Source organism: Homo sapiens, chromosome 20 (assembly GCF_000001405.40).
Source record: "Homo sapiens chromosome 20, GRCh38.p14 Primary Assembly".
In the NCBI taxonomy this organism is placed as follows: Eukaryota; Metazoa; Chordata; class Mammalia; order Primates; family Hominidae; genus Homo; species Homo sapiens.
This window is the reverse complement of record NC_000020.11, coordinates 42,152,500-42,170,259: the sequence shown is the minus strand read 5'-3', so window position 1 is coordinate 42,170,259 and position 17,760 is coordinate 42,152,500. Positions and strand designations below refer to the sequence as shown.

The following is a 17,760-nucleotide window of genomic DNA, read 5'->3' as shown; positions in this document are numbered from 1 at the left end:
GAACAGGAAGTCAAGTGTTAGAGTTGGTTGAATGAGATGCCCATGAATGTCATTGAGGACCCACATTCTTTCAAGCTCTCCTCTTCATCCTCTTATCTTGGCATGAGGGCAACCTCAGCCCAGCTCCCCTCATGGATGCAAGATTGTTTCAGCAGTTCCAGGCATCACACACAGACATGGTACTGTCTGGTGGCAGAGACGGGCCACTGGATTGTCCTTCTTAGAGATAAGAGAACCTTTCCTAGAAGCCTTCTAATGGAACTTCCCTCCCATATCATATAAAAGATTTTTATTTAACTTGCAAAAGGTATCGGAACACCTTGATGGCGTAGGGACATCAGAATTTGTCCCTTGTTTTGGGAGTAGGGTCATTCCCTGCCCCCGCCCCCACCAAGTCATACGGTGAACTTAGCCAGAAAATAACAAGACAGGGGATGGCTCTTGGGTCAACAGTCAATACTGACTGTTGTGTGTGTGTGTGTGTGTGTGTGTGTGTGTGTGTGTGTGTGTGTGTGTTTGAAAATTGTACTTTTCACGGTATCCAGGCTATCACTTTCCTTACTGTTAACATGGTGGATTTTCTTCTAAGACCTCATATTATCTTGTTTCTGTTTATTTAACTTTAAAGGAAGAGAAGTCTCTCCAGACCTGTTGCTTGCCAGTAAATAGAGGAGGTAGATCCTCATCGTTGCCTCACTGTCCAACTAGTTATTGTTGGAATCCTTTTATTCCATACCATCCTGGCATGTGTGATGCTGCTATAATTCATCAATATTCCTCCCAAATTCTGGCAGTGGTTTAAGCAAGAGGAGCAATGGATGTTTATAGCCCCCATCCCTACATAGAGTGTCTAACACCATCCTTCCATCTGGTGTGAGTGCTGTGAAAGAAGGAATTCATACTCTCCCCCACAAGCAGGAGGATTGATCTCTTTATCAGAAACAGTAAATGAATCCTAGAAGCATTTTCCCATGACTGTTCCCATCACAATTGCTTCCTAACACTGAATCTGCGTCTCGGAAACAAAGATACCATCTTTTGTCTTTACCATGTCAAAGACCCCAGTGATGGAGGTTTAGGAGGAGAAAGAGCTTGGAAATGCCCCAACCCTGCTATATGGTTGATACAGTCTTTGATTCTCTGAGCTCAGGAATTAAAATGAGAAAATTGGAAGCATTTCTTTTCTGTTCTTCAGGCCATTGGGTTTGCTTTATCCCAAGTAACAAAGTCTATCAAAGTCAATTGTATCATGTTTGTTTCAGCTCCATAGAAAATGGCACAGTGGAGTGGCATTCTATTACTATTAGTTCTACAAGTTCAACCCTACTATGTGTTTGGTCAGACATAAGAAAGATGGGAAAAGGTAAATCCATCTGTTGTTACATTGAGTAAGAGGATGTGAATCTACTGTTCCTCAGGGGTCACAAATCTCATACACCTATGCTAGTGCAAGTCTAGAATTCAGAAACACAGAACAGAGCATTCTTACAACATGACTCCTAAGCACAAGCCAACTGCTTCATCTTATGCTTCAACAAGGAAATGTAATCACTTCCAGCGTTGGAGGGGAAACTACCTGTGGTTGAATCAATTGAGAGATTATGTTGAATCAATTGAGAGAGGGATTTTCGAGAAATTTTTAGCAGTTGAAATATATATCTTCCTGCACATGGGATGTGTGCTGCTGCAATAATAAACAAGTTTTCTTCCCAGATTCTGGCAATAGGTTAGTGGATAGACTTAGATTTCAGAGCTGTTACAAGTTTATTATCTTGAGCCTTTTCTAGTATTTTGTGAGGGAGAAGAGGGGAGGCACTGACTGCCAGCCAGGTTCCACCTTGAGATTTCTTCCAGTGGAATCACATTTAACCCTTGCAACAACCTTCTCAGAAGAAGATGATGATGATCAATCATGATCATTGTCATCACCATCAGCAATTACAAATAAAGACCTTAGGCTCAAAGTATGGTTACCCTTGAACAACATGGGTTTGAACTGCACAGCTCTACTTAATATATGAATTTTCTTCTGACTCTGTCACTCCTGAGACAGCAAGACCAACCTTTCTTCTTCCTCCTCCTCCTCCTCCTCCTCCTCAGTCTACTCAATGTGTAGACAATGAGGATGAAGAACTGTATGATGATCCACTTCCACTTAATAAATAGTAAATATATTTTCTCTTCCTTATGATTTTCTCAATAACATTTTCTTTTCTCTAGCTTACTTTACTGTAGGAATACAATATATAACACATATAACATACAACATGTGTGTTAATCAGCTGTTTATGTTATCAATAAGGCTTCTGCTCAACAGTAGGCTATTAGTAGTTAAGTTTTGAGGGCGTCATAAGTTATACATGGATTTTCAACTCCACAGAGGGTTGGTTCCCCTAACCTCCATGTTATTCAAGGGTCAGCTGTAACTTATTTGAGGTCCTATAGCTAGAAATCTGTGAAGATCACATTTGAATCCAATGTTTTATCTTCAGAGTGAGTCTGTGCTTTGACTCTGATACCTGCTGTTGCCACAGTCCCCACAGTGTTGGTTCCAGTTGCATCCCCACTCTGTGCAGGTGACCCAGCCTCCTCTTCACCTCAAAACTTCTCTCCTCTTCCAGACTCTCTCCTCTCAATGAGCAGTCGCTAGCTACTTACACATCACTCTTCATACTCTCCTGCCCTAAAGAGCACATGGAGCTAGGATGAATAGTGATAGAAGAAATACATTGATACTGGTAAGGAACTACAGGAATTTGATTAGCTAGTTAAGAAATTTTGTCTTGACTCCCTGAAGACTTTTGCTAAGAAAAATGACTTGATCAAAGCTCTGTAAAGGGAACTGTGAAAGAAGGAAGGGCCATCAGGAAACTGATGGAGTAGTCCTGTCATGAAGACCTGAATGAGGGCAATAGCAGCAGGAATGGAGTAAAATAGATGGCTTTGGGGTGTGTCATAAAGGAAAGCAGAGAGGAGACAAGGAAAGGCGAAAGAAGCCCTAAATGACTCCCTAGATGCCATCTCTAGTGTGTGGATTCTCATATGTCCAATATGACATTATGCACAAATTCATCAGAACAAATACTGGTTTTTACTGCTTCCTGGATACCAGACACTGTACTGAGCACTCAGCATGCACTATCTCTTTGAATCCTTACAACATGTGTTTTCTCTGTATTATAGATAAAGAAACTGAGATGCAGAAAGATTTGTCACTTGGCCAAGGAATGATCCAAACCCCATTCTATCTGATTCTGGGACCCAGACTCAACATTTCTCAGGGTGCAGATTGAGTTCCCCTCATGCAACATGAACAGACCCCCCTTTTTTTTTTTTCTAAGATGGAGTCTTGCTCTGTCACCCCTGGCTGGAGTGCAATGGCACCATCTTGGCTCACTGCAACTTCCACCTCCCTGGTTCAAGTAATTCCCCTGCCTCAGCCTCCCAAGTAGCTGGGATTACAGGTGCACAGCACCACACCTGGCTAATTTTTTTGTACTTTTAGTAGAGATGGGGTTTCACCATGTTGGCTAGACTGATCTCGAAACTCCTGACCTAGACAATCCGCCCACCTAGGCCTCCCAAATTGCTGGGATTACAGGCATGAACCACCGCACCTGGCCCCGACTTCTTCTCAAATAGTTATGTAAACATTTTAGTGAGCACTAAAACAAAATTAGCACATCACATTCATGATTTTATGTTGCACTATCATTCATAATGAGGCAAAGTTAAAAAAAATAGTTGAGAGTTTATCTGAAGAAAAGTTTTGAAGATGTAATTGTGTAGATCTGCATTGTTCAATACAGTAGCCACTGGCCACCTGTGGCTATTTAAATTGAAATAAATCAAAATTAAATTAAACATTCATTTCCTCAGCACCAGTAGGCACATTTCAAAGTGCTCAATAGCCACAGATGGCCAGTGACTACCATATTGAACAGTGCAAATATAGAACATTGGTGTCAATGTGTAAGGTTCTTTTGGATAGTGCTGGGTGAGAGCTGTTTTACACTGGATCAGTGTCTTTTTATTTAGCATTTACTCCAGCTCTAAATTACCTCTCTTTAGAACTTGATCTGGCTCTGGATAAGTCTGTGTGCACCTGCATTGTCCCATACATTAGCCTACCATTTACCAGTGTCTGTTGAATCCTGGAAATATGGCCAGTCTGAATTGAAATGTGCTGTAAGTGTAAAATACACGTTGGATTTCAAAGCTTTTGTGTGAATAAAGAATGTAAAAATATAGCATTAATAATTTTTGTGATTATATGTTGAAATATTATTTCAGACATATGGGGTTAGGTAAAATGTATTATTGAAATTACTTTCATGTGTTCTTTTTCGCCTTATTTAATGTTGCCACAAGACCATCTTAAATTACATACATGGCTTGCAATATATTTCCACTGGCCAGTGCTATTCTAGACCTCTTTGCCCCACTGTGTGACTCTAGAACTCTCTTTCTTTCCCTATCTCTTTCTGTATATCTGCACTGCCCAATATAGTAGACATAAGCCACCTGTAAATATTTCTATTTGAATTAATTAAAATTAAACAAAATTTAAAATTCAGCTCCTCTGTCTCATCAGCCACATTTCAGACGCTCAGTAGCCACATGTGATTAGTGGCCACCAAATTGCAGAGCATAGATGTAGAACACTTCCATTGTTGTGGAAAGTTCTATTGGACAGCTGTCACATAGATGGTACACAACTATGGCAAGAGACACAGAGGTGGATCATGAATGCCTAATGCTTGGAGAATGTTTCCAGATTGCCAAACCCCATGGCACATCCTTCTTCCATCTCTTAGGGGCCTGTCTCTTCCTATCTTAGGCTTATTCACGCACACCTTATATTTTCTTCTCCCCTCCTTCAAGGGCTGTGGCCTGCTTATTTCTCCCTGAACATACCTCCCTGCTGTATGAACACAATATCTAACGTGCATTGTACAGTATAGGTACTCATTAAATATTTCTTAACCAGTTGGAGTGGCAATTCCCAGTAAGTGATGGAAATATGTGACTAAAGGTAGAGGGAGATCTATATGGCTGGTAGCAGTGGGGCAGGGGATAAGGGTGGGCAGCAGCGGTGATGAATCTAGGATCCCAAGGAAGAGGAGGAGAGAGCAGGAAGACAGCAAAGAGGAAATCAGTGAGACAGTAACCCAAAATCTCATACACAGCACCAAAATCCTTCTGCCCATCCCACAAGCTCCTCGCGGGCAGTAACAAGAGTTACTGCAGGGGAATTCACAGGGTTAGGTAACAGCTATATAAAAAGTGTGAAAGAAATCCAAAATATTATTGCACGATAAATAAACATACCAAACCCATAAATCAGAAGAAGGCATGAGAATTAAGGGGCTGGTGAGGAGAAAAAATGAAAAATCCTCTGTCCCTGGGCCAGCTGGTGTGAGTTACATTTTATGAGCAGCGTGTGAATTCCAGTGCCCTTGTTGAATTAGCAGCAGAATCGCACATTAGTTTTAAGGCTCCCTCTTGAACAGGAACATCATAACGTCTTTTAATTGGGCCTGATAAAAACGTAGCATTACTTGTAGGTTCCTGAGAGAAGTGAGTTGTGAAATTGGGTTTTCATTAAACCTAACGATGGAAAATTAAGTATAGTGCGTCTGGTGAAATGGAGTGTGATAAAAGACATCACTTCTGCATTATCAGAGGTTAATAAGGGAATAGGTGAGGTAAGATACTTTGGAAAGGGGAGTCTAACCCGTTGGATTAATAAACCTTGAAAATCCCTTGGTTCTGAGTCTTCATAGCATCATTAGCACTGGCATTGACATTATTGCAAATGTTACAGCAATACAAGTTGTTAAATTTCAATGCATTTATTTTCCATTCCAGTGTTGGTTTTGCTGACACCAAGTTTACAGTCTGTCTAGCAATGTGTTTAGGGAAAATATCCATATTGACAGCTATTTGGTTTTGGAAACATTTGACATTTCTCACACACATAAAAAGCCAAGTTCCCATTCCTAGGAAGCCTGTCTTTCCCAGGCAGCTGGTCTCCCATGCAGCCCATGCCCCAAGTTCCTCTGGGAGACTGTGGGTCTCTGAAGACAACTGTCCCCATGTTTGATGGTAGCTTTGGTGGGAAATACTCACAGGCCTCCTAGCATTGACTCAGCTCATCCTTTCATAGAAATCATAGAGTATGGCATGACTCCAAGCTTTAGGTATGCAGCATCCATACCTCTGTGGCTCTTGCCATAGCTTTGTACCATCTCTAGATGAATCAAACACAAGTGCTCCCTTCCTCTCCATTTCCAATCACACCATCACAGGAGTGATATTCGCTGGAAGGATGCCTTCGATGAGAGCTATTCATGACAGCTGGGACACCTACAAGAAACAGTGTGAGTCTTTAAAGAAGGAGATTCCTCCTAAAACCCTTCAGCAGGTTCACACTGGCTTCAAGGGTCTTGCACATTCACAGTCTCTGGATCTGCCTTGCACCATCTGTTACAGTGTTGCCCTCCCCTGACATTTCTACCCACAGCTTTTACTCCTTATCAACCTCCTTGTTCTTAACTACATGTGCCTTCATCTCTCAGGCTCTGTCCTTTTTCTTCAGTTGATTCTTCTCGTCTATTTCCTTGCTAGACAGTCAAGCCTTGAGGGTGGAATCAGTATTTCTGTCTGCATTGCCACTGCCTACCATAGTCCTTGGCACAGAGTGGGTTCTCAGTAAGTCGAACTCATGAAACCAAGGGGTTGATGGAGAAAGGGAACACCCCCATGTTTGCCAAGTGGTACATTTAAGCAATGCCAGTGAACATGTACTAGCTATTACCTAAAATCCCGGGAGAAAAAGTAAGCAGTATTTCTCTGTGCAGTCAGGAAGGTTTTGCTAACGACTTGCCTAGGCCCTTCTTTCTTGTGCATAAATCTAAATCTTAGAAATCTTTCTGTAAGCAGTCCAGGGGTTATTTGGCTGGTCCCCAAAGGACAGTCTCTCCTTTGGAGATGTTTACCTACCACCCTGAATTAGGAAGTTTTAGAGACCACACTCTGCCTACGATGACCCCACCTACTAATTAGGTACGACCCCATCAGTGTCTCAAAGTCAGACCAGTCAGATTAGTAGCCTCTCCTCCCTTGGTAGGTGGAGGCAGGCAGAAGGCTGCAAAGTGAAAAATTTATCCCCTACTCCAACCACAGATATAAGTGAAAGCATTAGGGTGACCAACCATTCCTGTGTGCCCATGACTGAGAGGTTTCCCAACAGCTGTACTTTCAATGTTAAAACTGGAAAATTGTCAGTCAAACTGGGACAAGTTGGTCACCTAGAAAGCAGGAAGGTCAGGTGTTCCCTTCCATTATCTTTCCTTGCCAGGAACAGGCTTGCCGATGCTGCTGCCGAGAAGTAGAGTGTGCATTCACACACAGGATCCATGTCTGATGGAGTATTCCAACATGACAGGCAAATAAGCTGAAGGGCACATGGATTTTGAAAAGACAAGTTGCAGAAAATTGGGAATATATGCTAAACCTCCCAGGGAATGAGTATGGCATAGGCCGAGTGGGTACCTGCATAGGTGTTTTGCAGGGTCTGAAAACATCTGGGGGAGACACATTAACTGCTGCAGCTGGCAGTTCTCATCTCTTGCATGCCACAAACAAGATGGTCTGGGGCATAGACTGTCCATGTCTTTGGAAGGAGGTTGGGAAGACCAAGCCTAGATGGTTCTGGGAAAGGTAAACTGGCCCTGAGAGATCAAGAATGTATGCCTGGCAGGGAGGTGGTAAGCAAGAAATTGGTTCTAGTCGTCCAAGGGGAACAGAAGAATTCAAACCCAATCTGACCAGGCATCAGTTTTCAGGGTGACCAAACTGACAGAAGGCAGTTAAAGCAACTCATTGGATGAAAAGGTTTTTATCAAGAGAGAATATAGATCCTACATCAGGGAGAGATTTTATGAAGGCGATGAGACATAGCATCCAGGCCCGGGGAAAGTAGCTAGCAGCACTGAAGGAAGAGGCCCAGGCTTCCCTATCTGCAAAGTGGGTTCAGTGATGCCACTGGATTAATAGTATTAAGTGATGGGGAAACTATACAATAGCAAGAAGGTGGTCACTGTGGCAGAGCTCATAACTAGAGAGAGCAGCTGGGAGGGTCAGGGTCCCTGCTAGCTTCTGGCAGTCCAAGACTAGCCCCAATTCTTCCCAGGGTAAAACTCAAAGGAAAAAAAAATAGTAGAGAAGCCAGGTCACAGCCATGCAGGCAAATAGACCAGAATTATACATGTGACTCCAATCTTCGAGTACCTGAGGCCACCTGAGGCTCTCCTCCCCTGCAGACAGGCATCAGGCACTATTTCCAGCCTCTCTGCTTCCGAAACAGGAGGGGGCTCCCAATAAATAGCCTGCCTAGCTTCTTAGTGGTTCTGCCCAACAAAGTCTAAACGAAGGACTGAGACAGACGGGGATGATGAACAACCTGGAACTTTATCAGTCTGTGCCCTTGAAATGTGTTGTGGTCATTGGTTTGCTTGTGGGTTTGATACTTAGATCTACCAACACAGCCAGGCCAGGGAAGGAGTGTATCTCCAATCCTTTTGCAGTTTCCCTATCAGTTGAGTCCCAAGTTGGTTCCCTCTGCCCTCCTCAGGCCAAGCTGGGGGAGACAGGGAGGACAAAGGGCAAAGCTTCTATAGGTGATGATCTGTTCTGCCTCCTTCTTTTCGAAGCAGATGGCAGCCGCGGGGAGCTTTCCCAGCCCACCCTCACGATCCAGACTCATCCCTACCGCACCTGTGACCCTGTGGAGATGAGCTACCCCCGGGACCAGTTCCAACCCGCCATCCGGGTGGCTGACTTGCTGCAGCACATCACGCAGATGAAGAGAGGCCAGGGCTACGGGTTCAAGGAGGAATACGAGGTAAGAGACCAGCCTGTGGGGAAACTTCCTGATAGTTTCAGAGGCTTATTTGGGCACTAAAGCCTTGCTACAAAAAGTATGGCTCCCTGGCCAGCAGCCTCAGTATCACCTGGGAGCGTGTAGGAAATGCAACATCTCAGGCCCCATCCCTCCCTACTGAATCAGAACCTGCATTTTAACCAGAAACTAGGTGATTTGTATACACATTAAATTTGAGAAGCACCATGCTAAATAATTCTAAGACATCCTTTTTCACTCTTGTTTCTCTCCCCTTCCCCTTTCATTATCCAAAGTTTCATTACCTCCAACGTTTCTGCACTTTGGAGTCTCACCTCCATTCACTATGCCAGAATGGCTCAAGCTCCCATCCCACATGCTGTAGAAAAGCCAGCACATCTCCCCTGCCAATGATTTCCAGCATGCATGCTTGCCCTTGGTCACCTCTTGTCTCATACTCAAGCTTCTGTGGTATTCTGGTCCCCGCTCCCATCCCCCGAAGGCAATGCTTCATCTCCAGTGACCACAGTTCCCTCTTTCTGCACCATCTCTTCACCCTGCACTGGGCATCCCTTTCCCATCTCCCCAAAGCATCCCTAACACAAAGGATTTGCAGGTAGTGGTTGTTACCGAGGTTTGGGGAATAATAGAGAAGGACTGCAGTAAAGGACAGGCAGCAGCTCAATACAACGTTGTTCTTCTTATAAGTTCCTTAACCATCTACATTGCTGGTAAGGCCTTCTAAGGTTCTGGTCTCCTGACAGGTCTCTATCTAATTTCTCCTCAAAGTCTTCTTTACTGTCTTCAAAACTTCCTCCACCCCCACCCCTCAGCATCCAGACAAAGGGCACCACGTTCCTCTTTTATTTTGCAGAACAATTTAGCTTTCTTTATCTCACTCTTTTTGTTTCAAATCCTGCCCATTAGGCCTCACGTTTTACAAACAAAAAGCAAAATAAAATAAAAGGAAAATGCATTAAGACGTTTTTCTGAACCAAAGAGCAGCTCACTCTCCAAGAATAATTCTGCAACTCTCCTGGTTGCAGTTAGACTCCAGCTGCAGCCAGCTTTGAAAACAAGAATTTCTTTCTTCACTTTTCCTTTCCTGTCTCTCCCTTCCCTCCTTCTTTCCTAAAATATCTTTTGAGTATCTTCTGTGTACCATGGTCTGAGTTATATGTATTTGTGGTTTTTTTGTTGTTTGTTCTTTTTTTTTTCTTCACATGCAGCGTGTGCCCCAGCTATGCTTGATTCAGTTTTGCTGTGTGCAGTAGAAAACTCATTGGCTCAGACTCCACACATTTGGAATTCTTAATATTGCAGACTAAGTTTATCCCTCAGACTATATTCTGAGAAAGAGCTTACAAAGCAATATTTCTGAAGTCGTATGAGGTCATGAAATTGTGCTAAACTGGGGGTGCAGACAGCTGGATTCCAATGTAGTAAGCTGTTTGATTTTAGAATTTTGCTATCTGAGTTTTAAAATTCTTTATTAGTCGAATGAAGAATTTGGATAAGGTGATCTCTCAGGACCTATCTGGTCCTAAAACTTTATGAGAGTGTAAAACATGGTGACAAGGGGCATGTTTGACATATTTATAAGAACAAAAATGTTTATGTCAATGGATGTAAGTAATTACAAGCTTGGGAGAGCTAGCACTTAATTTCAAAAACGGTCTAAGTAAAATAGCACTTTTCATATTCTCATCTACAAATCTTGAAAGGATATTCGAATTAGAGTTGAAGAAGATGATCTCATCACTACCCATCCCTGGATCTCATTTCCTAGGGGGTTGAATGGTCCCAGTCTCTGGGACATAGGGTGCATGTGAGCATGCTTTCTGTGTGTGTATGCAGACCTGCTTGTTGAACAAATGTCAGGAAGATTATGTTATTTGGTACCCTAAAACTTAAAGTATAATAATAATTAAAAAAAGAAAATATTTTCAAGCCATATATCCAAGAAAAAAAAAACAAGATTCTATAGACAGCATGGCCTTCAGAGGATGGGTTATATTTTAATAATTAGCAAGAAAGTGAGGAAGGCAACATAGGATTGGGAAAACAGCCTCCAGGTGGCATATCTCCCAAAAGAAACTGGAAGTATGGGAGGTGGATAATAAATAGCTGTTTGGGTGAAAAAAAAAAAAGAAAGAAAGGAAATGGTATATTCAACATTAGTCATAACAATTTGATTAAAAATTTCAAATATCATTAAGGGAGATATGTGGCTTACCAAAAAAAAAAAAAGGGACAAGTAGCCAAATGCTGAGAAACACATATGTAAGAACTTGCAATCTGAAATTTGAAGACAGAATTACAAGTGTATTTGACTACTTTCATGCATTTCGTTCTAGATTAATATTTCTTTTAAAGCATTCATCCCTGTGTGGTGAGTTGCTTTTCAAACTTTCTTCGTTGTACCCTTTTGTATTTTCCAAACTTTCTAGCATGGAAATGAACAGCTTTTATAATGAGAAAACAAACAATACATGTTATTTCATCATTTGAATCTCAACCAGAAATCTAACTAGGCTAGCCTTGGCCTCAATTAGTCCAAATTATATTAATCAGCAAGCTGTAAAGCTTAGCTTCTAGTTAACATTATTTTCTGATTAACTGAGGGTTAATTGGAAAATATTGCCTGATAAAAGTCATTTCACAATGTGCTAGCCCGCAATGTCCAGCCCAGAATACAGCTGGATTGCTTTGATCATCAAGGCTCCTGTGATATCTCGGTAATCCTCCTGAGCATAGGAGTCACAGATCTGCTAGGAGAATCATTGTCCTATTGCAGATAAAAGACTCCTGAGCCTCCAGTGCTACTCTCATACCAACCTGCTCTGTGCTGTTTGTTGCCTGTCACTTCTCTGCTCTGTTCAGTGTTTTCATACACATGAGTGGGTTTGACAAGTTGACATCTAAGGGACATCTCAGCCATAGCAAGCTGCATCAGAAGACAAAATTCAATTCAGTTGAATAATCACTTAAAATTTGTTCAGTAAATATGTACTATTTACTATTCCCAGGGACAATTCTAGGTATTTAGGATACAACAGTGAATGAAACAAAGATTCTTGCCCTTCTGAAGCTTGTATTCTAGAAAGGGAAATAGGAAATAAACATAAGCTTAAAAAAATAAGCAAATTATATAATGTAGTGTGTTAGACAGTGAGAAATACTGTTTGCTATGTTACAAACCACTCCAAATTTTAACAACATGAAACAACCAATCTCTTGCATTCATTGATTCTGTGGAATCTGTGCAGGGTACAACAGGGACAACCTGTTTCTTCTACACAGTGTTCAGAGCCTTGGCTAGGAAGTCTCCAAGGCTGGGGGCTGGAATCATCTGAACATGTCTTCACTCACATGTCTAGTGACTGATGCAGGCTTTCAGCTGGGATTGTCCACTGGAAGACCTACACATGGCCTCTTCAGTGGCCTGGGCTTCTTCACAGTGTAGTAGCCTTGGGATAGGTGGACGATTTCCATGGTGGCTCAGAACTCCATAGGTGAGCTCCCCAGATAACAAGGTGAAAAGTGCATCACCGTTGTGGCCCAAACTTGGGTATCACACTGCATTATTCCTACCATGTACTATTGGTTGTAAGCAGGTAAAAACTCCCCACTTTCTAGGAGAGGGGAATTTGACTCTATCCCTTGATGAGGAGGAGGGGCAGTTGCCAGATTCTAGAGGAGCATGCAGAGCAAGAAATATTGGGGGGGGAAGAAAATCCCAGCACTTTGAAAGGCTGAGGTGGGTGGATTGCCTGAGGTCAGGAGTTCAAGACCAGCCTGGCCGACATGGTGAAACCCCTTCTCTACTACAAATACAAAAATTAGCCAGGCGTGATGGTGGGTGCCTGTAACCCTAGGTACTCTGGAGGCTGAGGCAGGAGAATCACTTGAACCCAGGAGGCACAGGTTGCAGTGAGCTGAGATCGTGCCAGTATACTCCAGCCTGTGGGACAGAGTGAGACTCCATCTCCAAAAAAAAAAAAAGAAAAAGAAAATCTTTGGATAATAATACAGTCTGCCACAAGTACCATGGAAAAAGAAAGAATAGAGCAAGGAAGGGAGATTTGTTCCAGGGACATGAAGTAGAGGAGGTTCCAATAGTAAAAAGGATAAAAGGATAGTCCTTAATTAGATGACGAAACTTGGAATATAGACATGGTGGAAGATATCTGGAGGAAGAGAGTTCCAGATCCAGAGAGTAATATATCTGGCATGTACAAGCAGTTGCAAAGAGGCCAGGGTGGCAGAGGAAGAGTGAGCAAGGGATAAGAGTAATAGGAGATTCGACTGGAGAAATAAAGAGGGACCTGACCATGCTATGCATTACAAGCCGTTATAAGGACTTTGGCTTTTACTCTGACTAAAATGGAAAGCCACCTCAGAGCTTTGAGAAGACAAGTGCTAATGATCTGACCTTACTTCCTTCTAGCTACTGTGTTGAGAATGGAACTTAGGAAGGCAAGGGTGAAAGCAAGTTAAGAGGACATTGCAGTAACCCAGGTGACAGACAACGATGACTCAGGGCATGGCAGAGGAGGTGGTGAGATGTGGTTGGATTCTGAATATATTTAAAAGATGGAGCCAACAGCATTTCCTAACACATGGTGTATGTTACAAAAGGAATTAAGGGTAACTCCAAGGCTGTTGTTTGTGCCACTGGTAGGATGGAGCTGCCTCTAATGGAAATGGGGATGCTCAAGTAAAGCAGAGCTGGAACAATCAGTAGTTTCATGTTAAATTGAGTTTGCAATGTCCATTAGACATATTAGTGTCTCCATGTGGTGGCAAGAAGGTAGTTGGATCTATGAAGTTGGAATTTGATAAAGAAGCCTGGGCTGGAGAGAAAGCTTTGGGAGTTATTGGCCTATAGATGATTAAAGCCACAAGACTGGGTGAGGTCACCAAGCAAGTGAGTATAGACAGAGACAAGGACCTAGGACCAGGCCTTTCAGAATTTCAACTTTAAGATATGGGAGCATTTTCCAGGGTACAGACACTGTACTAGGCTCTGGGAACTAAATAGAGCCCTTGCCTGCTAGGGAATGTAGAGCCTATTCTGAGAGCCAAAAAATGCCACCATAGAGGTATATCCAGAGCTATGAGAATCCTTGGGGGTGGGATGCATTAACCCAGCCTAAAGGTAAATAGCCAGTGGCTTTCTGGAAGACATGAAGCCTCAACCGAAGCTTGAGAAGTAGGAAGAACCAAATTAAAGAAGGGAAGGGCGTTCCAGGCAGAGCGGCTAGCATAAGCTATGGCACAGGGGTGGGCACAGCAGGTTGAGTGAGGGGAACCAGAAACGGTTTGGGAGGAAGCATGGAGGGAGATGGGGCTGAAACTGTCAACAGGGGCCAGGATGAAGCAAAAGATGAGTGTTTGTTACACTAATGACTTTGGATTGTAATCAAGAAGCCACTGGAGCCATCGAAGAGAGCAGGACTTTCTAAAGTAGATTTGCATTTTAGATCTTGTAGAGATCAGAGCAGGGACAACAGAGGCAGGTAGGCGGCTGGGACAGTAATTCAAGGAAAATATGGGGCTGCCCAAACCAGGAGACTGGGCCCAGAGCCCAGACAAGCCTACGCACTTTTTCTGCATGTAGAGCCATAAAATCAGCTTGTTCTCGTTGGCATGAAAACTTGAGTCTCTCAATATATATTTTAAGTTCAATTATTTGAAATAATGTATGAACTATCTTGAATTGAAGAGTCAAAATGCCTGGAATCAAGTCCTATAACATTCATTAAGTATTCAGGTGACCTTAGGCAGGTCACTCTCCTCTGGGCCTCCATTTCCACATTTATGCAGTGGGAGCAAAGGGGTTTGTCAAAGTGATCCAAATAACCCTTCTGTCACTGATATTCTGGGAGTCTAAATAAGAACCAATTGGCCGAGCCAGCTGGGCCTCCCTCCCACTGATGGTCGCATGGGACCTCACTATCTGGGGCTGCCGCTTCCATGGTTATGTCTCAAGTTCTAAAAACCACAATTGGCCAAGGGCCTTGGGCTCCTAGGAGCTCAAGGAGGCCCAAGACAAATTAACTTCACCTGCCAGATAGATCTGAGCCTCAGTCAGAGGCCTTCAATTTGGGTTGCGCATTAGAGTTACCTGGGGAAGTTTTAAAAAACACCAATGCTCAGGCCACATTTCAGATCAGTTTCACTGGGGGTGGGATGTATACTTCAGTGTACAGCCACATTTCAGAATCACTGGGGGTGGGATATATACTTCAGTGTTTTCTAAGCCCTCCGGTTGATGTGAATATACTTTTAAAGCTGAGAACCACTAAGAAAACCCATGGAGTCCCCAGCATGTGCCCACACACATCCCCTGGCATGCTCTGCCAACCCTCAGGTCTACTCCTGCTGATGAAAGGGCATGTGATTCTGAACCATATACCCTTCCTATTAAAGTCAAGAGCATGTGATTCTGAACCACAGCATCCTCCCTCCTCCCCAGCCTGCTTCCCCCCCAGCTCCAGTTCTCCCACCTTCCCCTGTTACACAGCAAAACCCTAAGCATCACAGCAAAATATAAGAGATGTGGGCTGGAGAGCCGAGTTATCTGTGTCCCATGTAACTGCTGCCATGGTAGTCAGAAGAGCAGCAGGTTTAGGGAAGAAAAGGGAGAATTGGAAGAGGTGACTTTGTGATGGGAGAGAAGGAAGAAGCACATTCATCCCAGTTCAATCCAGACAGGCTGTCGCCATAATGAATGGAACCAGCCCAGTAGGGCAACCAGAAGGTACTGGTTATTACAGCTCCATTAAGACTATTTAAAGCAACAAGGAACAGCTGTGAGGAATATGATGCAGCCTAATGAAGAGCAAACATTTGTTCATTTTCCAGCTCAGGACGGACACACCATATGTATGGCTTTTGTGGGGAAGGCCTGTGTTGCCATCTTGTTCTTAGTCATCTGTGGGTGATGGGGTGATGGCAGGCAGGCAGCTTTTGAATGGGGTATAACTATAGAGATGGAAGTTTCAGGTCACCCCAGGTGCTCCCTTCTCTGCTCAGAGCCCCCTGAGCAGTGTCTGAGGACACCTCTGCTTCTCCCACAAGGTTTGTTCTCCTCAGTTGGTAACAGAGTGATGACAGAATATCCCACCACAGGCAACCCCAGAAAGGTTCTGGTTCAGCTCCTCAATTTGCAGATGAGCATGGTTCTAGGGAGGGGCATGAGGAATTACTGGCCCACGCCCAAATCATGAATGGGAAATCCATGGGGTTCTTCAACTCTGGGAACTCATAATGACCAAAACAGGAATACCTGGGCTCCACCTGCTCGTTTCACTCCACTCCACCCCACCTCCAGATTGAAAAAAGACAATAGGCCATTATAGGGAGTGGCCAAAAGCCATCAGTGACCGCTGTGGTTTCAAACTTGAGAGTTTTCCAGCAGGAAAGAGCTCACATGGAAGAGACTATGGTTATGATCATGGAAGAGTTACCAAGGATCTTGGAGGGATCTAGGATCTTGGAAGAGTTACCAAGGTTATGATCATGGCCCCTGGCAGTCTGCCTCTTCACTGTAGCTGGCTGCAAGTGTAGAGAAGAGTTGCTGGCCTAGAGTCAGCCACCCAGAAGCTCATGCATGACCATGGAGACACGTGTAGGCAGCTGGAAGTCTGTAGCCTGAAGTGAGTTATGGGGATCCCCAAAATTGTAGGCTCACAGCTGGGAGGAATAGAGGTACCCTCGTGTGAGATTCCCCATTAAGGGAAAAGGGAAGAGACTCAGTCTTTCCCTTTTAGCCTATTTTTATTGTTCTACTTACAATATTGTTTCTAACAGAGCACATGGTGGGTTTTTTGTGTATTTAATACAGGATCTCCCCCAACCAAGTGAGCAATTTTCAGGTGGTACTATAGAAAAATCCTTTGACCAAGAGTCAAAACCTGGTCCTCAATCTGCTCCTGAGACTCTGGGTGGTCTTGGGCAAGACTCTTCCCTCTCTGGGTCTCATTTTCATCTGTGAAATGTTTGACTACAGGCTTAGCATGAAATTCTAAAGGCTGATAGTATATGCTTCTATTTTATGAACACTAATCTGGCCAGAAACACTGACTGAGTATTTATTGTGCACCTAACACTGGGCACTGGAGATAGAAAGATAAATAAAGAAAATAAAGATGCTGCTTTAAAGAAAGCTCGTGGTCTTGCCACACCATGTAATGATGTAACAGAACTCTAGTTCAAATGCTTTGGAGACACACTTGCTTTTTGCCACTTCTTGTTGCCAAAAGCTATCAGAAGTTTCAGAAAAGATAAGACTCCGAGTTAGAGAAAAGTAGAAGAAGATGGGTAGAGGAGAAGGTTGTGTACAAGAGGGAACTACATGTGCAAAGCTTGGAAGCAAAAAACGAAATGATTAAAATGCTGCAGCCAATTTTTTTTTAGGAGAAACAAAGATGCCTGCCTATGAAAGGAGAAATGAAACTAGTTGGGGAGATTTAATAGGAATCTTACACCCGTTGCACAGTTTTCTTGAAAACAGTTACCAAGGTTATGATCATGGCCCCTGGCAGTCTGCCTCTTCACCATAGCTGGCTGCAAGTTTAGAGGAGAGTTGCTGGTCTGGAGTCAGCCACCCGGAAGCTCATGCATGACCATGGAGACGGGTGTAGACAGCTGGAAGTCTGTAGCCTGAAGTGAATTATGGGGATCCCCAAGATTGTAGACTCACAGCTGGGAGGAATAGAGGTACCCTCGCGTGAGATTTCCCATTAAGCTATAGACTTCTTGAAGGCAGGGAATTTGTCACCTAAAGGAGAACTTGTAGCTTTTAATTGGGCCTTTTAAAGAGTGTTTTGTGAGTCTACATGCAGACA

At 43.4% G+C, this 17,760-nt stretch overlaps 1 protein-coding gene across 11 annotated transcripts in view; it reads left to right on the top strand.

The window, feature by feature from the left end:
• Positions 1 to 17,760, top strand: part of PTPRT (protein tyrosine phosphatase receptor type T) — a 1,158,017-nt gene that overhangs the window by 1,019,647 nt on the left and 120,610 nt on the right. For 6 of the 11 annotated variants that reach the window (XM_047439848.1, NM_001394024.1, NM_001394025.1 and 3 more), the window contains one exon: positions 8,721 to 8,908. In XM_047439848.1, the coding sequence (XP_047295804.1) occupies positions 8,721 to 8,908 (188 nt within the window). Of the gene's footprint in view, positions 1 to 8,717; positions 8,909 to 17,760 lie in introns of all 11 variants that reach the window. The other 5 variants (NM_007050.6, NM_133170.4, XM_017027611.2 and 2 more) reach the window with 1 other exon arrangement.